A 27,363-nucleotide genomic window follows, 5' to 3' on the forward strand; every position below is an offset into this window, starting at 1 on the left:
GAAAGTGAGTTGCATGAAGCCTCTTTTATAAGGGCCTTAATCCCATTTGCAAGGGAGGAACTCTTATGGCCTATAACCTCTTAAAGGCTCCATCCGTTAATACCTGAATTTTGGAAGGCACACATTTAAACCATAGCAAATACATACGTTGTGATATATTCATATAATAGATGATCTAGTGATTAAAATGAACTGCACAAATGCATACACATCATCAAGAATAGATCTCAAATGCACGAAAAAAGAACAAATTACTGAACAAGTTCAGCATATCATTTGTATAATTTTTTTAAGTGTACAACATTAATAAAAATCATTCTATATGTTATAGATGGAGACATACATGTGTACAACTGGACTCCAGATGCAACTCTGCATCATATTAGCTCTGTGTCCTTGGGCAAGTTGTTTACTCCTTTGTAGAATAGTCATTTGCAAAATGTAGGCTACTATGAGGATTAAATAAGTAAATGTTTGGAAAATGTTAATAACTATGCCAGGCACATGGTAAACACTATAAAAGTTTTGTTAAGAAACTATAAATATATAACAGTATAAAACTTGAAATAGACAGATACTCGCTGAAGTCTTAATGGTGACTGCTTGCCTCAAGACAGGTGAGAAGGAAACTTATGATGCTGAAAGGGGGCTTTAACTTTATACATGATTTTAGTTTCTTTCTTCATATAAAAAAGACTAAGTAATAGTTAATTCTAGATGGTAGAAACATGAGTTTTTGTTAAATTGCATGCATATTTTGTTATTTTAAATATTTCAAATGTCAGGAGCCACACTTACAGTTACGACTATAAAATATCTTCATCCTTAAAACTAAGTGTTAGACTAGATGACTTTTAAAGGGTTTTATAGATATACACAATTTCCTCATTTATTAGTCCTGCTCTTGGCCATATATTCTATGACACAAGCTAACAATAAAAGATAAACAAATTGTCAGATTGATGTACCATTTTTTTTCTCTAAAAGAAGTTTAATTGGCAGTCCAAATTCTGAAGAGTAGTTACTTATCCCATCTGACTTACCATAAGCCCTATGTAATGCACAGTATAGACATTGTACCATGATGGTTGACATTTACAATGCCAGACTAATTGCTTTCATCCGAGAAGCAACCCAAAATCTTGAGATAAAATGAAGGCTTGGTTTTTACATGGCTTTGAGTTTGTAAATTTTTAATTGTTTATTTATTTCTTTATTTTATTATTATTATACTTTAAGTTTTAGGGTACATGTGCACAATGTGCAGGTTAGTTACATATGTATACATGTGCCATGCTGGTGTGCTGCACCCATTAACTTGTCATTTAGCATTAGGTATATCTCCTAAAGCTATCCCTCCCCCCCCCCCACCCCACAACAGTCCCCAGAGTGTGATGTTCCCCTTCCTGTGTCCATGTGTTCTCATTGTTCAATTCCCACCTATGAGCAAGAATATGCGGTGTTTGGGTTTTTGTTCTTGCGACAGTTTACTGAGAATGATGATTTCCAATTTCATCCATGTCCCTACAAAGGACATGAACTCATCATTTTTTATGGCTGCATAGTATTCCATGGTGTATATGTGCCACATTTTCTTAATCCAGTCTATCATTGTTGGACATTTGCGTTGGTTCCAAGTCTTTGCTATTGTGAATAGTGCCGCAATAAACATACGTGTGCATGTGTCTTTATAGCAGCATGATGTATAGTCCTTTGGGTATATACCCAGTAATGGGATGGCTGGGTCAAATGGTATTTCTAGTTCTAGATCCCTGAGGAATCGCCACACTGACTTCCAGAATGGTTGAACTAGTTTACAGTCCCACCAACACTGTAAAAGTGTTCCTATTTCTCCACATCCTCTCCAGCACCTGTTGTTTCCTGACTTTTTAATGATTGCCATTCTAACTGGTGTGAGATGGTATCTCATTGTGGTTTTGATTTGCATTTCTCTGATGTCCAGTGATGGTGAGCATTTTTTCATGTGTTTTTTGGCTGCATAAATGTCTTCTTTTGAGAAGTGTCTGTTCATGTCCTTCGCCCACTTTTTGATGGGGTTGTTTTTTTTTCTTGTAAATTTGCTTGAGTTCATTGTAGATTCTGGATATTAGCCCTTTGTCAGATGAGTAGGTTGCGAAAATTTTCTCCCATTTTGTAGGTTGCCTGTTCACTCTGATGGTAGTTTCTTTTGCTGTGCAGAAGCTCTTCAGTTTAATTAGATCCCATTTGTCAATTTTGGCTTTCGTTGCCAACATTCAGATTCAGGAAATACAGAGAACGCCACAAAGATACTCCTCGAGAAGAGCAACTCCAAGACACATAATTGTCAGATTCACCAAAGTTGAAATGAAGGAAAAAATGTTAAGGGCAGCCAGAGAGAACGGTCGGGTTACCCACAAAGGGAAGCCCATCAGACTAACAGCGGATCTCTCAGCGGAAACGCTACAAGCCAGAAGAGAGTGGGGGCCTATATTCAACATTCTTAAAGAAAAGAATTTTCAACCCAGAATTTCATATCCAGCCAAACTAAGCTTCATAAGTGAAGGAGAAATAAAATACTTTACAGACAAGCAAGTGCTGAGAGATTTTGTCACCACCAGGCCTGCCCTAAAAGAGCTCCTGAAGGAAGGACTAAACATGGAAAGGAACAACCAGTACCAGCCACTGCAAAATCATGCCAAAATGTAAAGACCATCGAGACTAGGAAGAAACTGCATCAACTAACGAGTAAAATAACCAGCTAAAATCATAATGACAGGATTAAATTCACACATAACAATATTAACTTTAAATGTGAATGGACTAAATGCTCCAATTAAAAGACCCAGACTGGCAAATTGGATAAAGAGTCAAGACCCATCAGTGTGCTGTATTCAGGAAACCCATCTCACGTGCAGAGACACACATAGGCTCAAAATAAAAGGATGGAGGAAGATCTACCAAGCAAATGGAAAACAAAAAAAGGCAGGGGTTGCAATCCTAGTCTCTGATAAAACAGACTTTAAACCAACAAAGATCAAAAGAGACAAAGAAGATCATTACGTAACGGTAAAGGGATCAATTCAACAAGAAGAGCTAACTATCCTAAATATATATGCACCCAATACAGGAGCACCCAGATTCATAAAGCAAGTCCTGAGTGACCTACAAAGAGACTTAGACTCCCACACAATAATAATGGGAGACTTTAACACCCCACTCTCAACATTAGACAGATCAACGAGACAGAAGGCCAACAAGGATACCCAGGAATTGAACTCAGCTCTGCACCAAGCGGACCTAATAGACATCTACAGAACTCTCCACCCCAAATCAACAGAATATACATTTTTTTCAGCACCACACCACACCTATTCCAAAATTGACCACATACTGGGAAGTAAAGCTCTCCTCAGCAAATGTAAAAGAACAGAAATTATAACAAACTATCTCTCAGACCACAGTGCAATCACACTAGAATTCAGGATTAAGAATCTCACTCAAAACCGCTCAACTACGTGGAAACTGAACAACCTGGTCCTGAATGACTACTGGGTACATAACGAAATGAAGGCAGAAATAAAGATGTTCTTTGAAACCAACGAGAACAAAGACACAACATACCAGAATCTCTGGGACACATTCAAAGCAGTGTGTAGAGGGAAATTTATAGCACTAAATGCCCACAAGAATTTTTAATTGTTTAAATACACTTATTCATTACTCAATACTCAGCTCAGCAAATTGCAAAAAATACAACAATAACAGATGCACTAGGTGACTGTAGTACTTTGCCATTAGTTTGACTTGTGTTTTTCATTTTGAGATTGGGTAAGTCACCCACAGAATGTTATAAAGTAAAACCAAGAAGATTCAAGATTTTAATAAGACATTACCTTGAACTCCCTACATTGAAGATCATTTATCTCTGTCTAGATGCATGTGTTTATATATGTGAGCACTCATATAAAGATAGAGATCCCAGTAAGGAGGCATAAAATAAAATTGCTTTGTAGGTGAAGATAAAACACCAGCTACTACTACTACTGCTACACACACATACACCCACACACACATATGTATGAATGACACATTTATCATTATTAAATTGAGATTTTGAAAGTCAAATATGTATCTTTTTCTAATGTCCCTTCTAAGCAGAAGTTTCTGATGCTGTTATCATGTCTCTGCTCCAATGCTTATGGAATTGCCTTTTACAAAGGAGATTATTTCATCAATGATCTCAGTCTTTTATCTGATTCTATAAGAAATATATATTTGGCTTTCCAGAACAATATTATATTTTCGGTTTGCAAAGTCAGAACAGCTTGATGGGTTGAGGGCGGGAGTTTATTCTGTTACTTAATTGGTGATGCTGTCCACATGAGTCTAAATCACTGGTTTGAATGATTCTTTCTCAATGAATTGACTCATCTACTTCCAGCTACATCAACCAGCTATTATGGTGTGTGTCAATATTATGATTAATTACTGGATAAAACTAGTGAAAAGCAAGACAAATGAGCAATTTTAGGTGTTAAATCTATTTAGTTTTATATTCCAACTGTTTGAATATTTGTGACATTTAGTTGAAGACTCATACATTGATTTTAATCCTTTGTAAATGATAGTATCTAGCTTAAATAACTCCTCTGTATAACACTAGGGACGTATGGGCAGCAAATTTGCTTCCATGTACTAACAGTGCTCAAATTTTAATATTGACAACAGAAGAATTTATAAAGTATGTTTTCCACTCTCTGTTCCTACACACCCAAATATACATTTGCAGAGTTCTGAGTTATTATTTTTCTCTTTGTCTCCTATATATTATAAAACTAAGAGTCCCATTTTTTTCAAAGATTATATTAATATAGTGTTGGACTGGCTTTATTGTCAGCTCAGGACCTCAGAGATGGGAATGGATTTATGTGTTATAGCAATGACTGACTAAGAATACACCTTGGCCTATTTTACAACTAATACTGTCTCCCTCTCCACCTCTAGAATTATAGCGGGAATTTTGGAGTAGATAAGTTTAATGGACATTTTGGTGTCAAAACTCAAAATTATGTTAATATAATAAGCTTCAGGGAAGATGAATATCAAAAAAGGTGGAATTCTCTAGTGTTACCGGTTTTTCAAATTAGTTTCTGGCTGTGAATTGCTGGAGATATGTATCAGGAAATCTTAAAGAACAACATGGATTATTGAAATTGGTAGGTGTAGGTTCATGTCTTCTCTTTGCTCCACATTTGATTCAGGAAAATTTATTTCATTATAGTGCAGACCCTGTGATGCAGGACTTATATAGCTCTCACACTATTTCTCCAAAATCGACTTGTTTGAGTTGAGAAGAAAGAAAATCACAGACCTGTCAGATGTTCATGGGAAAAAGGGTTCCATGGTCAATCTTGAGAAACACTGTATTATTTATCCCCTTTTGGGGAGAAACAATGCAGCTGATCACAATTGCGATTACTCTGGCAAAAGACCTCCATGAACTTCCATATTGCATAAAGATAACATTTTCTCAGTTTTAGTCTATTTCAGCTCCATGCTACATTCAACACAATAAATCACACCTTTCTTCTCCCTCGTCTCTTTCCCATCCCAACCAGCCTTTTAAAATGTGTCTTCCCTGTTTCTCTTTTTCTTTTGTTTACTAAGGAAATGCATGTTATTTAGACTGTTTAAACATTATATAAATAGATTGAATATTAAGAAAGTCCACTGTTACTTTATCCCTTAGGGAAACATACTAATAATACTTTTGCATATATTCGTACATATGCTGTATGCTTCTTCCTCTCCTTCTTCTAGTATCTTAAACAAAAATGGAATTATAATATGCTTTTGGTTTGCAATATGCTTCTTTCACGTGACAGTAATATCAAGGACACTTCTAGTCAGTACATGAAGAACTAGCACCAGTATTTTAATAACTGTATAATAGTATTCCATTGTTTGGGTAAGTAGCCAACTAACCAAGCCCATTCATGGGCAGTCCTCTAGTGGTGCTTTCCACTTCAAAAACCACTTCTGGTATCAATTTTTGCTAAATCATAGCTTGGAGCCAGTGGGAGAAGTTCTCTATGAAGACTCGCTCCCATCTAAAAGGCAGCATTCTCACAGTCGTTTCTTAGGCTTGTGGTAACTCTACTAAGTTTTTTTTTTTAACATTTTACTTTTTATTTTATGTTTGGGGTACATATGTAGGTTTTTTTATACAGGCAGACAAGTTACTCGGGGGTTTGGTTTGCTGTACAGATTACTTCCTCGCCCAAGTACTAAACATAGTACTCTACTTTTATTTTTTTCTGAATCTCTTTCTTCTGCCACCCTCCACCTTCAAGTAGACCTCAGTGTCTGTTGTTCCTCTCTTTTTGTCCATGGGTCTTCATTATTTAGATCTAGCAATTCCACTACTGGGTATTTAGCCAAACGAATATAAGTTGTTCTATCATAAAGACACATGAATGCATATGTTCATTGCAGCACTATTCACAATAGTAAAGACATGGAATCAGTTTGAATGTCCATCAATGGTAGACTGAATAAATAAAATGTAGTACATGTACACTATGGAATACTATGAAACCATAAAAAGGAATGAGATCTACTCAGCTTTATCTGTCAAAGAGATCCTATCTACTTTCTGGTTTTCTAGAATGTTGTCATAATTTCTGATCTGATTATGGCACTTTTTCTTATTTATAGCACTGAAATGGAGTTTTTCAATTTAATTATTCTGTACTGTCATTTCCATAAGATTGTAAGAAGGAGATGTCTGCCATTTTGAACTACAAGATCCACGGACATTTTAAACTGACTAGTTTTGCATATAGCCACTGTCACCTTTGAGCTGGATTATTGCAGTAACCTACTAATGAACCCCGCTCTTTCTCTGTCTTTTCTCCTCTACAGTCTACAGTATGATATCTACAGAGCAACCAGATTTCCTTTTAACAATAAATTGCTTCTCAAAAACCCTCATTGGACTTTCAACTCATTCAGATTAAAATCCAAGGTTCTTATAACTGTCTACAGAGCTCTATATGATGTGGTCACCCATTATCTCTCTGACCCTACTCCTTTCTTTATTCATTTTATTCCAGCCATACTTATCTCCTTTCTGCTCCTGAAACATGCTAAGCATGATTCCACCTCAGGCCTCCGCACTTCTTTCTGATCACCTGGAACGCTCTTTTCTGATGTAGGTGCATGGCTTACTATGTCACTTGATCTCGGCTCAAATGTCAACTTATTAAACAGACTTTCACTAACCACTTTATTTAAAATTTCATCTCCCCCTGATTTTCTACCCCCTATTCTCTTTCGACTGATTTATTTATTAACATTGATAACCATCTTACATCCTATATACTTGTTGGTTTATCTGTTTATTGTCCCTCTCCTCAATGGACTGTAAGCCTTATGAGGACATGGCTTGCTTGTGTTGGTCGATGCAGCATTTTTATCTAGCAGCTAGAATAATGCGTGATATATGGTAAGCATTCAATAAATATTTGCTGAATGAGCAAAGAAGTGAAAATAGAAAAGCATTGATTTTTTAATATATTAATCTCAAAACTGAACATTGTACTACTATTTTATTTTTCCTAACCTTTTCCAGTTGCTTCTTCTAGAATTTATCATTTTTGCCATCATCTTTCATCTTCAAATAAATATAACTGTTTTCTATTTTCTAATATTTATATCTAATATTTTCTACTTTTTCTAATTGCTGTATCTGGAAATTTATAACAACATTAAATACTGGCGGTGATTTTAGGAGTCCTTGTTTGTTTCTTACCTTCACAGGAGTTTCTTTGATGTTAAGGATTCTGGTTGAAGTTTGAAACACAAAACACACACACACAAATGCACACATACACACACTTACCATATGAAGAATGTTTTCCCACATAGTTTACTAAGAATTTTACCAAAACAATAGAAGACTTTTATTAAATCATTTATTATAATTTAGTGATATGAGCATGTGTGTCTTCTCATTTGATTTATTATAATACATGGAAATAATAGATTTTTCAATAGTGAAGACTCCTTGAATTCAAGGAACTAGCTTTACTTTGTCATAGTATTTTGTGAACTAATGAATTTGATGGACTAATTTGGTGAACTAATGGATTTGGTGAACTAATGGATTACCTTCAGTGTTTTTAAAGGATAAGTTGCATTGATTTATACATGTGTGTCAAATCAGTCCCTTTTTATTTTCTGCAATTTTACTCAAATTTGTTAATATTTTGCTGGCCTACTATAAAGAAGGGTAAATTATTTTCTCTTTATGCTCGGAGGCACCTCACACTTAGATATTCCTTGACAATGTGAAATAATTTACTTATAAAATGATCAAATCTGTGTGTCTCTTATCTGTTTATGTGCGTGATATTCTTGGATTAAAAAGATAGACTTTAAAAAACTAATATTCACATTTCTAGAGTTAATGGTCTGATCTGGTTCCTTATTTCTTATTTGGAAGTTTAGTTATTTATATTTTCTGATGAGTTATTTCACTCAGATTTTACATTTACCTGTCTAATAAATCTGTGCTTGTAATTATTTCTTCTCTCTCACTTCTAATAATTTGCATTTGTGCTCTTTTATTGTAATCCTGTGGAAAGCAGTATCCTCCTCTGGACACCTCCTTTGCTTTTTGCAAGACTGGGAAAGTTGGCAGAGACCTACACTTGTGGTATTGAAGTGAGAACTTAAACAGGGGCTCGCAGCAGCTGCTGATGAGGTGATATTCCACTGCTGTGAGACTGTCAAGGATGCTGGTGCCAGCTGGGTGTTGGGAATACTGGATATGTCTCAGAACAGGAGAATAAGTGGTCCAGAAATAATTAACTCTGAAGCCCTGCTTTGTGAGCTAGGTCTGACTTTTCATTCTCCAAGATAAAACCAGCAGTTGAGCAATTCAAAAGCCTAATTAGTGGACCAATGTGGACAGTCTTAAGGAGTCGTAGGTAAATATTTAGGAAGATTATCTGGGAGAAAAGCTGTCCTTTACGGCTTTTAGGTGGAGACTCAAAATCGTTATAATTTTAGTATTAAAAGATATATTGTTGTCTCACGCTAAGGTCACAAAATTTGTGTAGAATAAGCCTCTATCATTCTCTACCATTTTCTTCCCCATCCCAGCTTTTTTTTTAAATTTCCTTTTATTTACTTATTTGTTTGTTTATTTATTTATTGAGACAGGGTCTCACTCTGTCACCCAGGCTGGGGTGCAGTGGCATGATCTCTACTCACTGCAACTTTAACCTCCTGGGCTCAAGTGATCCTCCCACTTCAGCCTCCCGAGGAGCTGAAACTACAGGCGCGTACCACTACACCCGGCCAAATTTTGTATTTTATGTAGAGATGAGGTTTCACCATTTTCCCCATCTTGCTCTGGAACTCCCGGGCTCGAGCAATCTGCCTACCTTAGCCTCCCAAAGTGCTAGGATTACAGGTGTGAGCCACTGAGGCAGGCTTTCTCTCTTTTCATTGTTTTAAAGATCCTTCATATGCTTTTCTCTTCTACTTTCCCCTGAAAGGACAAGATTTCCAGTGTTTCATAGCACTCACCTTCCCAGAAGTGAGAAATTGCATCCTGGGGTACACAGCCAATTCTTCACTGGGTATGTTCTCCTGATGTCACAGAGGCACCTCAAATTCAGTAAGTCCCAAGTTAAACTGATCATCCTCCCCCATACTATCTATGCCTATTTTCTTTATTTTTATTTGCTGTCAATATTCATTCACATTCAAGTCAGAGCCTGAGAGTCCACCTAATTTTTTTGGTTTTCCTCATCTTTCACATGAAATACTGTTTGTTCCTTTTATTTCCCCTCATTGTTTTGAATAACTTTCTCCCTCTCCACACTTACCCCACTATCCTAGTTCAGATTTTCGTGGTCTCCTTCTTGGATTTTCTTCAGTGACATCTCATACGTTGGGTATAACTTAAACTGGGTGCAACAGACCAGGGAAACCTACTAGGTCCAGCTAAGTATATAAGGAAAGTAGCTGTGTGTAATCCATTTCCAGGTACATGAGCCTGAATGGTGGGTACTCTCTTCCTTTAGCGTGGCAGCATTTTTACTGCTTGCCTTCATTTTCTTGTTCTTTGTTTCAGAACCCACTTGGTACTCTGACAACAAATTGAATTAACTCAGCCACAGTGGCTTAGAAAGAAAGGATCAAGATCAAGTAGATGTAAGATTGGCAAAGAGCACAGTTTGGTGACACACTGTTGGCATGGGTGTGGTAAAGCAGGTGTGCATCCATTACTTGTAGGAGGTTAAGGTGGTGAGAACTCCTTGGAAGATGATTTAGCAATGGCTATTAATATAAAATGAACTTACTCATTGAACCAGTAATTTCATTTCTCGGAATTATCCTGCAGATATATTTATGCTTGTACACAAAGATGTATACACTTAAGTAATCACTGCAGAATAGTTTACAGTAACAGAAAACCAGAACCAACATAAATGATCATCAAAGGTGTAATGAATAAGTCAAGTGTATTCCAATCACACAATAGAACAGCATGCAATAAAATTAAGTAGATAAGTATAAGAAAAAATCACTAAGATTTTGTGATTAAAAAGGCACAGATACATACAGTATGTTATTATTTGTATAAAAATTCCATACACACATACATGTGTTCTTGTATATATATAGACTAAATCTAAATATGTATATGCAAAAAATATACTAGTGCTAATCTATGGGCTGGAAACTAGAGACCCCGGGGTTTGAGATTTACTTTTAACTGTATACTTTTTATACTGTATGGTTTTTTGATCATGTGCTTGTATTAAAATTATTTTAAATTGGCATAAAACAAAACACAAATAAAGACCAAGTGGTAAGTCTTAATATGTGTAGTTCAATATATAAGAAATAGCTGCACATATAAAATGATATATATCTATGCTTTCTTCTCACATGGGAAGTAACATATACAAACAGATATACAAATATATTATATATGTAAGTAGTTATAAGTACATGTATATTTGTATAAATGAAAAATGGTTTGTTCAGTCAACTTTAAAAAACACTTAGCCATCCTAACTTACACCAAGTATATTTTCATAACGTATTCAAGATGTTGTTTAATCTTTTAACTTATAAGTTTCATTTTCAAAAAGAGATGTACAAAGTAATGTCTGCATAGCTAATGCTTCAGATTCAGCTTCTGTCCTGGAAAGTTTTGACTTTGATAAATACGTTCTCAGAAAGACAAATGAAAAAAGAAAGCATATATTTAAGTATTAAGAACTTAAGTCTGCCACTTAATTGCTAAGATGATGAACACATTTTATTTATTTTTCTGCAACACATCACATACTGGATCCAGAATTATCCATGTATACAGTAATAAAAAATCAACACCTACTCTGAGCACAACTGCCACAACTGGCTTTTCACTGTAAATAGCTACCTGAATTTAAAGAGATGTGTACCCCATATACCCCCAAAAATACCTCCCTGATTGCACTACCACATATATAGACCAGAATTGAGTAGTTCTGAAAATCTGTAGCATAGAAAAGCAGGCCATAATACAGCGGCTTTAAATAAGAACACGGAGGGCCTGAGGATAGTAAAGTTTTACTGAATAACCAAAAATGTTGATTAATAGTATGAACAACATTGTAAGATTTCTAACTAACAGAACATATTTTTAAAGCATTTTACACATCAACACTATACAAACAACAGACATTGAGTTTCCAACATCCAAATGAATCACGCCCTAGAATGGTGTGTGCCACACTCTAGAATGGTGGCAATCTAGAACCTGAACTGCATTTTGTAATTAGAGTAAGGCTATAAATGATGGGTAGTTCCTCAAAACAACCCCAAAGATGCTTTGTAGCTCACATTTCCCCAAAACACCACACATCTAACATGTGTAAAAGATCTGAACACTATTGCAATATTGATAAAACTAACGTACTGAATAGTAGTGAAGACTATGACTACATCAACCTAAAGAAGGAGGGTATGTGAATCACTGAAAGACAGAACACAATTAAGGTTTAGCCAAAACTCTTTGAATGAGAAGGCAAAAATATACTGCTGTTGGGAAACGTGAATGAGAGTTTTAAAGCCAAAGTTTTGACTGCCGAAAGGACCACTTGTGCTCTCTCGCTCCCGCTCTCTCTCTTTCTTTCTCTGCCTAATACATTAAGCACACGTAAGTTGGACTGGTTCCACCTGGAAGACAAAAGCCACACAAAGTTAAAAGCACAAATGCAGCATGAAGAAGGAAAGTCAGGCGGAACTGAAAGGTAAACCTGTGCACTTTGAGAACAAGGCGTCCATCCTTAACTCCAGAGGCCTGCGTAGTTCCCATGGAGGCCTGAAGGGAGAGGCCCCCCAGCCACAAAGAGCTTCATCTCCGGCCAGTTGTAGCAGTGGGTGTAGAGCGCATTGGGGAACTCTCCCATGCCACCAAAGTAGTTCACCCAGACGTCATCTTGGTTGAGCCAGCCTCTGCCGCAGGCAAGCTTGAGCTTCCTCCCTGCGGGCCCCGGCATGGAGTCCAGGCTGGAAGAGGCCCTCTCCTCCAGGAACTTCTGGGCGCGGATGTCATAGAAGAGCAGGGAACCATGGCCGGTGCCCACAGTGATGATGTGCTGGTAGAAGCTCAGCGACCGCACGCCTGTGCCACCCTCTCGAGAGCACAGGGGCCGGATGTTCTGCTGGCGCTGGCGCGGATCCAGGAAGGAGACGTGGGACTGAGAGCCCACAGCGTACAGGGACAACTCATCACAGTAGGTCAGGCACACATTCTCTCGGCAGTAGGGCAGCCTGATGGACAGGAGCCTGGATAGTGTGCTCCGGGCTTTCCACAGGTGGAAGTAGCCGTCCAAGGACACCGCTCCCAGCTCCTGGTTCTTGCCGCTGAAGGCCAGGGCCCGTACCTTGCGGTTGCTGGGGTTGGTGCTGGCCCTGGGGATGGCCTCCACATCCCTCGGACGGATGTGGGCATATACTGGGAGACCCACCTCGCTGTGCCAGGCAATGCTGCCATTAAACATGTCTGGGTCCATCCGCCACAGAGCCACGGTGCCGTCGCGGGAGCCGCTCACAGCTACGGTGTCACTCAGCCAGGCGACTGCGAAGATCCAGTCCTTGTGGCCATGGCGGTCGCCCAGGCACAGGGGGTCCAGGGTGGGCAGCTGGTAGATGGCCAGGCTGTTGGGGTTTTCGCCGCCGGTGGCCAGAAGCGTCTTGGAGGGATTCAGCTCGATGGCATGGATGCCGCAGCCCTGGTGGGCCTGGGCCAGCCCGGCCTCCTTGTCCCGCATGAGGGGGATGCGCGTGATGTGGCCTGACTGCACGTCCACCACAAACAGCGTATTACACTTGGTGCCGCACACCACCTGCCTGGCGTTCAGCCACTGTGACGCGAACACCTTGTTGAGGGTGCCCAGGTCCAGCTGGCGCTCCGTCAGCAGCTCGGGCAGCCTCTGGACGGCGTAGCCCCGCAGCTCGCCCTCGAAGCCCTGGAGCCCGGCTGGGCCCCGCGCTCCTACCTCCCGGCCCTTCAGATAGTGCACCAGCCTGCGACGCGTCGCCGGCCGCTTCTGCTTCTTGGGTAGCAGAGGCCCCTCTCCGTCCGCCGCCGCTAAACCCTGCGACGACGAGCTCCCGGCTCCCGCCTCGACCGCGGGCGCTTTCCGTTTCCTGCTACCTGTTTGCTGCTGGGCCATGGTGGGCGGCGGGCGATCTGCAGCAGCGGCGGCGGCGGCGGCGGCGGCGGCGGCGGCCCGGCGGCGGTGGCGGCGCGTGGCACCCGTGTTGGCCGTGGCGGCGGTGGTGGGGATGGCTGCGCTTCCGCGTCAGCCGAGAGCTCAGGATCTCTAAGACCAAGAAGCTGGTGCGATCGCGGGCGCCCAGACTTCAGTCTGAGGCTCGGCGGCGGCGGCGGCGGCAGCGGTCGTCCTGGCCAGAGATGCGCGGCCTGACGTAGCAGAGCCGGGGCGAAGCGCGGCGGCAAGGGCGGCAGTGGCGGTGCAGACCTAGGCGAGAGCGGGAAGAGTGTCTGTCTGGATGGCTGCGGGAGCGAAGTCAGTGTGGGGGGAGGACGACGCTGGGGCCCGAGTGTGAAGGGCGGAGGCAGTGGGAGGAGCTGCTGGGCTGGCGTGGGGTGCCTGCCGGGTAGCGGAGGCCGCGCGGGGTGGAGGCTGGAAGGGGGCGGAGGGGAGAAGGGGGTAGCGGAGCTGCAGGGGCAGAGTCGCGGAGGGCCAGCACCCTAGGTCCCCAGTATCAGACATGCGTTGTTTCGCTACCCTCAGGACAACAGCTAACTACCCTTCTTAAAATCCGTACTTCAGTAAAATCTGAAACCTAAGATATAATCAAGCACGGGGCTAGAAGGAGGCCGAGCCACGGTCTGCCTGGAGAAACCAGTGTGCGCTTGGTGTAATCTTGGGACACCCTTCGCTTAGATTATACATTGAATTTGGCAAGGGATCGGGTGCGGGGGTGGGGGGGTGTGGGGTTCAGCAGCGTCAGGGAGACCTCTACCCTCGTGTCAGACCTGCAGCTTCTCCAGTTTCAGCTCCTGGGTTGATGTCTTAAACAGTTTCCACCAAATAATTTTTTTCCCCTTCTCAAACTGAAGTCTTTGAGCACCTGAATCCCTGAGCATTTGAACTGCGTTCCAAATGCAGTTCCCTAGGCCCTGCTTTCCACCCGGGTGGTATCAGGGACCCTTTAGTCAGAAAGCAGCCTCAGGAGCATCCAGGGCTGCAGTGATGATAGGGGTGGAGACATGGGGGTGAGGGGTGAAGAGAAGGGTTTTTCTGTAAGGCATTGAGTTCTTTCGAACTCAGCCCAGGGCGGGTGGAGTGAAGGGGAAGAGGTCCAGGAGAGGGGTACCTCCCTCTCTCTCCTGGGACGGAAAGGTCAGCCCAAACTTTCAGTCATAGGAATCTTGGCAGAGCCCTCTCTTGGTGTGGGGGCCCCCTTGGGCATTGGTACAGTACTCAGAGGAATGCACAGGATTTCCACAGGCACAGATGATAAAGAACTTTGCAAAGTGACTAAATGGCAAAATGGTGAGAGTGTGGATATTCAAAGCATGAGTTTGGCAGTCTGAGAAGTTACATGATCCACACCTGCTCTAAAGCTTTAGGGCAGTCAATCCTAAAGCAAGCCCCCAATTCCACAGTAATACCTTGCACTGAAATGCTGGTGGCTGATACCAGGTCTGCACAGGCCCCAATCGTCCTCCACAAAAAAAGTCTTTGTTAAGCGTGTTTGCAGAAGTCAGGTGGTGAGTTAACTGTCCTTGATCAGAGATCATGAAAATACTTTGTTGCTGTTTCCCCCCAATTCTCCCTGCTCTTTTTACAAACTTATCTCAAACCCAGAAACTCCAAGTGCACCATGGATCCTTCACATCACTCCAGTCCAACTGTTGCACCTTAGTGCCCATCCTCCCCTTCTCTGCCTCAATATTCCTACCCATGTTTAGTGCTGTATCAAGAGGAGGGTGAGGGTGACGGATTGGGAGTAATCTGACAATGAAAAAAATGCTGACGATTTCATAATTGGAAGTGACATTACTAGAGAAAAACTGATCACAAATTTCTTTAACCTAACCTATCTTAAGGCTTTCTTTTCTTTTCTAAAAAATCTTGACTTAGAAAACTTGATATTATATAAGACTTCATGGCATATTTTTTACTGTTGCGGTAAATAAAATAGGCTCAAAATCTTAGGCTATTATCAGACTAGTTGGTCATATATAACATATGTATAACAAATTGGCTGAAATATGTATGTGTGTATATATATGGTTTATATATATTACATATATATGTGTATGTATATATGGGTTTTTCTCCACATAAACTTTTTTTAATTTGTGCAAATATATGGAGTACATGAGGAATTTTGTTACATGTATATATGCCTAGCGATCAGGTCAGAGTATTTAGGGTGTCCATCACCAGTGTACAATACATTTCTGTTAAGTATAGTCACCCTTTCCTGCTATCCAACATTGAGTTTATTCCTTCAGTCTTATTGTATGCCTGTACCCTTTAACCCTTTCTCTTCATCCTCCCCTCTCCCCACTACCCTTCCCAGTTTCCATTATCTATCTTTCCACTTTCTACCTGCATATGATCACATTTTTTAGCTCCCATATATAAGTGAAAATATGGAATATTTGTCTTTTTGTGCCTAGCTTATTTCACTTCAGATAATGATTTACAGTTTCATCCATGTTGCTGCAAATGACATGATTTCTTTCTTTTATGGTTGAGTAGTATTACATTGTGCATAAATACCACATTTGTAAAAGTAAATAATGCTTATAACAGCTATTATCTATTGAAAACTTATTCATATCATGGGCTGGAGGGATGTGTTAAATGCTTCAAATGCTAAATACTTTATGTACATTTGGCATCACAATAACTTTATAAGGTAGGTTCTATTTTTATTGCCCTGTTTTAAAATGAGGGAAATTGAGGCTCAGTAAAGGTAGTGACTCCCCCATTGTCACACAGCTAGTAAGTGATAAAGTCAAGATGTGAATCTCTGTGTGACTCTAATACTTTCATAACTTAAGACTACTTTATATTATTCAACAAACTTTTTTTGTTTCCTTCTCTTAAAAACCATGTAAACTACCTCTATTGTTGAAATTTTATACGCAATGTCTTCTGTGCTTCTTAAAGATAACCGGAAGTGATAAATAAATAAATACTGAATGCAAATGATGTACAACATTGTCCATATGATATTTAAAGGCAAATATATCATCTCTGGGACCTATTTTTTACACATTTCTTTTAATTAATACTTATGAGGTGCAGTAATATGTATTCACAAGTTTTTTTATGTTTGGTGAAAACATCCACATAAATCTCCACTTTTTGTTAATGTAAATATGTAATATTTAAATATAATAATATGTTTGTAGGGAGTGGTCAGATTACTATCATGTATTGATAAATGAGTTAGGTTAACTTCCTCTGGAATATTATACCTGAAACACATTTCTTTTACGCTAGGCTTTCAAATTTCTCTAAGCTCTTTAAAGCTGTACAAACAACTTCCAGACCAAAGGCAAGATATATTGAGAGATGTACAGTTTTGTATATGAACTTGCAATTTTGAACTTCCTTTGCATCTGGTTACTTCCATGTTCAGGAAAATACAATATCTGCTAATATATAACATCATAAATAGTGCATTTATTGTTGAAACAGTAGCTGCAATGGCATGTGATAAAAATGTCAGGTATCTGCATAGTTTTCTGAGTGTTGGGATCCCAATAAGGTACTTCTGTTACCTCTGAGGGCTGCTGTCTATGTGAGTGTGAATATTTTGTCAGTCCTTACCGAGATATTTCTGTGTTTATTATAGGTTTTTGCTTTGTATTAGACTAGCCTGTCTCCCTACCCTAGATTCCCCGCCATTGAATAGGGTCTTATATGAATGGCTTCAGGGCACTGTCTCATGCTGTTCTCTAATTACTTAATGTGTTTAAATTTTGTTATCCCAATCAGATTGTAAGCTCCTCAAAAGGTTACATGTTTCCTACTTATTTTGTACCATCACACCGTCCTAGGTAAGTAGTCAATGGTTTATGAAAACTTGGGATTTACTTGTTGATAAGTAAAGAGAACTAAAAGAGAGAAAAGAAATTGAAATATCCAACAAGTAGAAGATATTTTGAAATTAAATTACTTGAAATGGAGAAAGTGAGGGACTTGAATTGTAATAATGCCACATAACTTGTTTGAATTTACATAGATATCTATGCAGACCTATTTTGACCTACATATCTATATATACATAATTTCAAACAAGTTGTTGTATTATTAGCTATGCTTATTTATTTACATTTATATTTATATTTACATATGTTTCCTTGAACCATTGGATGATTTCATCAACTGTGTCTGTCCACTTTTCTAATCTATGAATGAAAAAATGAGATGTCTAGCCAATAACCAAAATAGATTAACAATTAAAAATTAAGGCAGAATATTTGTTACTTCCCTGTGGTATCATGAATATAAACTTGTTTCTAAATGTGTTTTAAATTATTTTTAAAGTGTTAGATTTTATGTCCAAAACTAAAATAATCTCAGGAAAAAGATACTGAAAGTTGAGAAAAAGGTGGGGCAATAGTAAGACGGGTGGATCAGTAACAAGTCTGTTTGAATAAATTCTAAAAGTGGCTTTCATATAATCAACAGAAAAATAGATGTTACAAATAAGGCCTTACAAATTGCAGCATATTTTCAGATATAGAGGCATTTGTGTTCAGAAATGTGATCATATAGTAATTTCCAATATGTTGTATATAGATATGAAACAAAGATGCCCTTAAAAGTATATTGTGACATCTTTCTTACATTTGTATGTATAGCATTTGCATTTTCTTTATCAGCAAGTATAAATATAAGACACTGAAAAAAGAAATATAGTTAATTAAGCTTGTTTTAAAATAACATCTGATAATGATATGGTTACTTATACCAGACACAAGACAAAATATTCTTGAATTATTAAATTGAATAAATTTTCCCTTAATCTCTAATTATAACACAGTCATAACATTTTCAAGTTGTGACCTTCTCAAGTCTCTTAAGATAAGCAGCTATGAACCTGGTTTGTGGTCAGATTATTCTTCCAAACTTCATGACGCAGAAAGTGATATAGATGACTCAGCAAGTTGTTTCGCCCTATGATGGCACAACTAAAGGCATATGCTGTCAGATGGGGTAAGATAGGAAAGATTTATCACATTATTACATTTACTATAAACAGAATTAGAGGAAAGGAGGCAATTTTGACCACATGACCTCTTCTATGCCCTACTCCTCTCCATATTTTCTAAGAGGAAGGAGTGTGTCAGAGTCCAAGCTTGGGCTTTGTTTTGTGAGAGGGTAGATTCAATGCTAGTTATATGTTTTGTGGGAGACACTACAGGCTAGTGGTTATGTGAATCGGCTCTGGAGCCAGATAACATATTTTGAATTCTGGTTCTAGGGCTTGCTGGCCTTGAAACTGGGCCAGTTATAATATTCCCTTTGCAATTATCCCCAGATTTTTTAAATGGGGATAATAATAGCACTTATTCCATGGGGTTTTGTTTTGATGGCTAAATGAGTTAATACATATATAACAATAAGAATAGTGCCTGGCAGATTATAAAGCACTTAATACATTTCTTAAAACTACCTTCCCTCCTTTCCACTACTTAACTTTACAAAGACAACTTGGTAGCAATGCTAATAGGGTTTTGTGAGTGTCCGCTGTATTGTGAAACACATATAAACACCATTATGAAAACTGGCACACATGGGGATAAATTATTTGTAGTAAGAGCTACTTGTCTGTTCACATACAGCTCATCAATGTCTATTTTGTTGCCAACCTAAAGATGAATATTAGTATGGGAAGAATGTATTGTAAGAATAACTTTACCGCATGCTAGTAGATCACCAAGTGGAAGTTGTAAGGTTTATTTTTTGAAGCAGCCAGACTTGGGTTCCTTTTGCAAATAATTGTCAATATAAATATCGACAAAGAACAAAGAACTGATCTTTTCTTAGATTTAGAGCATTTCTTATCAGTTGATAGTTGTGAAATTGGATAGACTGAAAATAGGCCATAGATAATGCTCCGATATTAGCTAGGTACATAAAAGAAGACCTGGAGGGAGATTATGTCCATAAAATTGATTGAGAAATCATTCTATTCCATGCTCTGAAATGTTTTAACCAGATATATATGCCTAGTTGCTATTTTCCCAACTTTCAATACCATCTTACTCCTAGCTTTAAATGCATAATATATGCCAAGCCATCTCAATTTTGTATCTCTATCCCAAACCTGTTTGTTCAACTTCCTGCTTGACATCTTGGCTACCAAAACAGAACTTCAAATTCAGACTGTATGAGCTCAAGTTATTGATTTCAGTCCCCATATACTTGAGCTTATATAGTTCCCTGTTTTAATGAATAGTATCGCCATCCATCCAGCTGTACAAACTGAAGTCCTAGCAACTATCCTTGACACACATTTTTTGTCTTCAGGTTCAATATTCCATCTTCTACCATTTCTCAAATTCATTTAATTCTCAGTATTTCCACAGCTACCATCCTTTCCCAAGCCACCTTCATAAGTGATTTTCCTAAAACTACGCTTTTCCTCCTCCATTCAATTATCCAGGCTGTACCCAGAGTAATGCTCGCAAAATACAGATCTGCCCATGTCACTAAAATGTTTTTAAAAAGATAATGTTTTCCTGTTGTCTTATGATAAAGACCAAAATCCTCAATGCAGCCTACCAGGCCCAGCATGATATGTGACTTATGTTCTACAGCCACATGTCAATTTTTTCTCATTACTTTTTTGATCCAGCCACACTGGCCCTTTTTCATTTCCTCACTGATGTGAAATAACTTCATGCCTCAAATCCCTTTTGCATGCTGTTCTCTCTGCATGAAATGCTTTCTCCCTGTAGGTCTTTCCACCTTTTGCCCCCACAACCTCCCGCCGCCCACAGATATCTTAGCTTGTTAACTCCTCATCCTTCAGATTTTAGGTCAAGTATCACTTTCTTAGGGAAACACTTCTTGACCACCCAGAATACATCAGATCTCTGTTCCCCCTATTATACATGGGAGGATTCTCATAATGTTATTTAATGGCATTTATCAGAAAGGAAATTTCGTAGTTATTCCTGTGATTCTTGGTTTAATGTCTATATCCACCAAACGTTTGAACAAACACTCCCCAAGGGCAAAAGTGATGTCCATTGTGCCCACTACTTATCTCCAGTGTCTAGAATGCCATAGAAATACTCAATTGATATTTGCTGAATAATTACTGAATGAAATTTTAAGGACCCTGATATTTTGTTCAAGTGGTACATCAAAACTCTTTACACTATTTGACAAACAACCTCTTAATTTAACACCGGTTGAAAAGGATAATTTTGCTCCCTTACATTTTAAAGTTTGTTAAATTGTTTACTCTTCAATTGTGATTTTCGTTGGATATATTCAAAATATAATATGCTCCATTTTTCCAAAAGGTTAACCCTGTATTCCTGCAAAAGTATGGATTGATTGATATGACAGACAGCTCCAGAAAAGATTTTGCAATTAGATTACAAGTACAATACTCTACTAATCAACCACTGCTGTGTTATCTTTTAGCTATGGAAACATCTGCTCCAAATGACAGAAATTTGCTTCCAGCTTTGGTCTATCATTGTTCTAAGGAAAAGCATCAGCCAAGACAGGGTAATATACGTTTAAAGTAGAACCTCAGCATTTAATGCTTATCTAAAATGGGCATTTTGATTTCATGTAATAATGAGAAGACTGCAACAGTCCCCCCCAAAAAACATTGTTTCAAGTAGCATCAAATAGTTATATGTTAGCTGTCCTTGTCTTTAATATAAAACTTAATGGTCTGATATTACTTTCTGATAGATTGAATCTTCCTGTGCTGTTACTATGTACAAAAAGTTTAGTGGCTATGCATATGTTGATGGCATGGTTTTACTGTCAAGAGCTAGAGTAGCTTCATTAACAAACTAGTGTCAAGAATGGCTCAATATTTTTATGTGAAATCCTGAAGTCATTGTTTTCGCCAATTATCTTCCAAAATTCAGCTGGCCAATTCTAAATTACTTCTAGCTACATGGTAACTTACTTAGTTATTTTCACAGGGTGAGAACATTTTGTAACTAATGCATCACAGGAAAAACAGTGGGAATCTACTGTTTTGTATCAAACTTCACATGGGTTTTCTACCTTCATGGAATGATCGATGATCATTTTGGGGGGCCAAATTCATCTATCCCATATTCTGTAAGAACTCAGGGGCCTGAGGGGAGCATTTGTCCAAGTACACAACAAGTAATCTAAATATGCTTCTTAAACCACAACTGGTTTTGCCTGCAGGTATTACCACATACTACACTGGTGAGAAAGCAGGATGCCGTTTCATCTGGATGAGAATAATGGTCAAGCTTCCAAGCTTTCATAATGTAGAACCTTACCACATTATAGAACAGTAGTTGATAATGTGAGCTTTAAAAATAAATAAATAAGTATGCGTTCTCAGTTCTCAGGCAATCTTTGTCTCACTTAACCTACTGAAAAATTAGCTTTTTAATCTATTAAAATTTTATACAAGCTTAGTAAATGATAGCTATTATTAGTATCTGGATTTTCCAAGCCTATGGACCTGCTCATAATTAACAATGTAGACTACCCTTCATTCTCATCAGAGAATGTAACCAAAATGCCTCTATCTGGGCATCCCTTTCCCCAGATTGTCCACCATCTCCTTGTTTGCCCAGCAAAGACATCCTCATCCTTCAAGTCTTATCTCAAACACTGCCTCCACTATGATAACTTATTTGACTCTGTCAGATAGGTTTAAGGGCATCTTCTTTTGTACAGTCTGTATATACTTCCCTTATAGCAATTAATATGCTTCATTACAGTCACTGGCTTGTCTTATTTTAAACTAACTGCAAGCCCTTTTGAGGTAGAAATATTTTAAAAAATATATTTGGATCCTCAGACCTAGCACAGTGCCTGACATACACATAGCCCATACACATTGAGTGAATGAACACTCAATGAATGAATAAATGAATTTGGCTTCTATCAAAACCCCTGTTAATAAAATATAATATTTAGCATTTTGAAAGTGAATTCACATACTCTCAGTTTTATTATTGAATCACCTGAGGTCACCAGAAGACTTGATCGTAGGATCAGATAATATTAGGACTTGCTGAATCAGTTTCACTCACTTGCACTTTCATTTTATGCTTTAAGCAGTTATCAAAGGTCATTAAAAATACCCCAGCAGCTATATGAATATTTCTTTTGCATTTATTGTAAATGTGTTATGAAGGGCACTGATCATCATATTGCTCAATGTCCCTTTTATACAATGTCACTCAGCAAATTAATTTTATAATCTAATTCCAAAAAGCTTTTCTCCCTTGTAATTATTATATTTCCTCCTTTCTGACTATGAGCTCTATATAGAAGTGCAGGCTATGAAGTCAGAAAGTCCTTGATTTGAACTTTGGCTCCACTTAGAGCTTCAGTTTTGTGACCCTGGACAAGACATTTTTTGAAACCTCAGTAACTTCATCTGTAAAATGAGGATTATAACTCCTACTCTCCATGGATGTATTGAAGATAGATATAATATCGAAGTGATCACAGAGTTCTGGCACATAATATATGCTGAGTATATAGTAAAAATAATTTCTTTTTTCGACCTGGCTGCTGGGAAGCACAAAGACAAATATAATAATAATAGCAACTACGTGAACTTTAACAGTTTTTCTCTTTCTTCATTCTAGTTTTCATTATTTTGAATTTTATTCTTAAAAGCCTCTTTAAGTAGTTGTGGAAATAAGGCATATAAAATTTGCAAATAGATTATTATCTGTGAAATCTCTACAAAAATGATCACCTTAGAAAGCCTGAAGTCCTAATTATCCTATGCAGGTGTAAAGTAGTAGGGAATATTGAGATGTAAGGCACAGAGAAAAACATGTAATATTTCAGTAAGTTTATCTCTCTTTTGTCCCATAATATCATAAATACCACCATTAGAGATCGTTGTAGGGATTCCTCTCCCATCTGGATTATTGGGGTGTAAACACACAGATATATATTAAAATATTATGTTAACTTTTTATCATCAAAATAAATGGGATCAAAGATAGGAAATGTTTCCTAGAGGACAAAGACCTGAAGAAGAGAGTAAAAGAAGGGAAGAAAATAGTTAAAATATTTTAGAAGGAAAATGGGGAGGAACAGAGAACACTGACTTTGCCTATATCTCAGTTTGTTTTAGGGAGACTTTATCATACTGTTCTCTGAAATGTAACTTAAAGAAGAAACAGCTGCTTTACAATATGTGCTCTAACTAAAAAGACCAACTATGGAACATGTATTTGAATTGCTCACTGATATGATTACAAACAAAATGAAGAAAGGTGGGCTAGATGCTAAGACAAGTAGGTAGATGAGAATTCAGATGATTAATGATTTTATTTTCTCAACAAAGACTTATTAAATGCCTGTGATGTGTTATGTAGGCATTAGAAAAAAGGAAATACAAAGATTAATATATTTAAAGTCTTTGCCTTCAATGAATTGTCATTCTCTTATGACAAAAAGACAAAATGGAAAGACCTAGAGAGTAGGCCAAACTTATTCACCACACACTTATTAAATACGTTCTATATGTCAGGACCTTTGCTAGCACCTGTGGGCATATTACATGATTATGTATTTTCTAAGTACATACTACATTATATATTATGCACATATAGTTGCATATATTTATGTTTATTATATATGTACATTTTATATTTTTGGTTATAACCTCCATTTGTTGATAACTTGTGCTGTGCTACAGGTTTTACATATAGTATCTCTACTCTAAACAATAAACCTCCATAATAGAGGGCATTCTTTTAACTTTACAGATTAAAACATTGAGATTTAATAAACTGAAATGTTTAATGAGTGGCAGGGCTAATATTCAAACCCAGGCCAGTGCCCTTTCCCCCATGACACTGTATCCACTACAATATTTTTTTCTCAGACTTTTGCCAATACTTAGATAGGGGATGAGCAGGACATGAGGATGGGATCAAATAAGCCAATATGCTATAGTCTCAATGCCTGACCACTGAATGATTTGAATAGCTCCCCCAAATCTGAATGGGTGAATGGAAACCTCAGCCAAGACATGGTTTCCAGCCTTGTCCTGCCAGCATCTTGCTAGATGTGGTAGGCAGCCTCTACGATGGTCTCCAATGATCCCTGCCTTCTGGTGTTAATGCCCTTCTTTAATCTCCTTCCCTTTTGTGTAGGTTAGACCAGTGACTTTATTCTAATCAATAGGATATGAAAAAAGTGATGGGATGTTACTTCTATGAGTAGGTTACAAAAGACTGTGACATCCATCGTGCTTTCTCTTGTTTTCTCACTGGCTTACTCTGAGATAAACCACCTTCCATGTTATAAGTTGCCTTACGTAGAGACTCAGATGGTAAAGAAATGATGTCAGCCAGTAGTCAGCAAGGACCCCAGGCCTGCCTGTGGTCACATCAGTGAGCTTGGAAGCCCCAGCTGACATCTTGGTTGCAGCCTGATGAAAGACCTTGAGCCACATTTTCCCATATAAGCTGTGCCCCAATTTTCTGATCAACAAAACTGTGATATAATAAATATTTGTTTTTGTCAGCCACTATCTTTTGGGGGTAATTTGCTCCACAACAATAAATAACATATACACCAGGAAAAAAATGTTTCCCAGATTTGTACAGAGTTGATTGTACCAAAATGATGACTAGAATGATGATGTAACACAGAGCAACAGCTACATGGATTGAGCTCTTGAGACATAAAACATTTACAGAGCATTTAATCAAGCACCAGACCTGGTGCCTTTAATCAAGCACCATCCATGACAATTTACAAGTTTTCGCAGCCAGTGAAGTAGCAAAATTTTGATTTGAACTCAACGGTGTGACTCTAGAGTGAACATTCTAAAACAGCTGTGTCTCTACTGTGCTATACAGTCTCAGTTTATTGCCTATAGGTTTGATAAGGGATTCTCTCTTAGTGTTTTAAAAATTGGGTTATTAAAATAATTTTTATCAAGTTTATAGATAAAATTAAACTGTGAATTATAATGAATATGAAACATAACAAAAATATCAATAGATTGGGGCAATGTTCAAAATTTAGCATGGTTACATTTAATGCAAATATGTGTTGTATCTGCATATTTAAAACATTTAGGAATAAAATAGAAGTGACATGGCTTTGCACTTAGAAACCCAAGTGGTCAAGTACTATGTGCTTGAATGGCTGGTATATATGAGGTATTCGATGAATATATGTTGAGTAAATGAATAAATCTCACATAGGAGATTCAAACATCAAATGGGTCATTTGAGTTATATAAATCGTAAAGCTCTTTTTTACTCTGAAAGTCTGTGATTAAGAGTGTAACTGAAAAATGCAGGTATGTTACATATAATTGTAAATCCTGCATTTAAGAATGTGAAGGCTACATTTGTAGCAGTAAAAATAAAAAGGCATACCTTATCTAACAATTACCATATTACAAAACAAATGATGACTATTAATCAACACAGTATACAGAATCAAAAATCATCAAAGTATGTTTTAATAAAGCATAAATTATTAGCTCAATTTTGGTAGTTTTGCAAATGGGGAGGCTATATAAAATAAGGAAACATTTTTTTTCTGTTAAATAAAATGATAGAAGAAGGTATAGATGAAAAGTTTTCTTATTTTTACTGGGTAGATGGTCTAGAAGCAGCAAGAAAAAAATCAGAATGAGATTTAACTTATTTAACTCTCATGAGTAAATATTGATGAACTCTGTCAAGATATTCAGAATCTATTAAGTGTGTAATAATATGCTAATTGTGTAGAGCATGTGAAAGAGTAACAAATAATGGCCTATGCTGTCAAAGAGCTTCTAATTATATCAGGATGATATGATGAAGTATGTTAACATTAAAAATAATTTTTAAAATGTATGATTATAATATTAAGTGCCAAATGGTATTTCTAGTTCTAGATCCCTGAGGAATCGCCACACTGACTTCCAGAATGGTTGAACTAGTTTACAGTCCCACCAACAGTGTAAAAGTCTTCCTATTTCTCCACATCCTCTCCAGCACCTGTTGTTTCCTGACTTTTTAATGATTGCCATTCTAACTGGTGTGAGATGGTATCTCATTGTGGTTTTGATTTGCATTTCTCTGATGGCCAGTGATGGTGAGCATTTTTTCATGTGTTTTTTGGCTACATAAATTTCTTCTTTTGAGAAGTGTCTGTTCATGTACTTCACCCACTTTTTGATGGGGTTGTTTTTTTCTTGTAAATTTGCTAGAAATACCATTTGACCCAGCCATCCCATTACCGGGTATATACCCAAAGGACTATAAATCATGCTGCTATAAAGACACATGCACACGTATGTTTATTGTGGCACTATTCACAATAGCGAAGACTTGGAACCAACCCAAATGCCCAACAATGATAGACTGGATTAAGAACATGTGGCACATATACACCATGGAATACTATGTAGCCATAAAAAATGATGAGTTCATGTCCTTTGTAGGGACATGGATGAAATTGGAAATCATCATTCTCAGTAAACTATGGCAAGGACAAAAAACCAAACACCGCATGTTCTCACTCATAGGTGGGAATTGAACAATGAGAACACATGGACACAGGAAGGGGAACATCACACTCTGGGGACTGT

At 37.9% G+C, this 27,363-nt stretch overlaps 1 protein-coding gene across 1 annotated transcript, besides 1 other annotated feature; it reads right to left on the reverse strand.

Moving 5' to 3' along the window:
- On the reverse strand, positions 11,305-14,095 carry DCAF12L2 (DDB1 and CUL4 associated factor 12 like 2). The gene has a single exon (NM_001013628.3). It carries the CDS (start codon positions 13,728-13,730, stop codon positions 12,339-12,341), a length of 1,392 nt encoding a protein of 463 aa, NP_001013650.1. The 5' UTR covers positions 13,731-14,095; the 3' UTR covers positions 11,305-12,338.
- Positions 13,017-13,517: an enhancer, noted in NCBI's record as "H3K27ac-H3K4me1 hESC enhancer chrX:125299194-125299694 (GRCh37/hg19 assembly coordinates)". NCBI's record gives its function as "activates a minimal SCP1, AML or CMV promoter by ChIP-STARR-seq in primed H9 embryonic stem cells {active_cell/tissue: H9 hESC(primed)}" and the evidence as "EXISTENCE:reporter gene assay evidence [ECO:0000049][PMID:30033119]".

This window comes from Homo sapiens, chromosome X, assembly GCF_000001405.40.
Source record: "Homo sapiens chromosome X, GRCh38.p14 Primary Assembly".
In the NCBI taxonomy this organism is placed as follows: domain Eukaryota; kingdom Metazoa; phylum Chordata; class Mammalia; order Primates; family Hominidae; genus Homo; species Homo sapiens.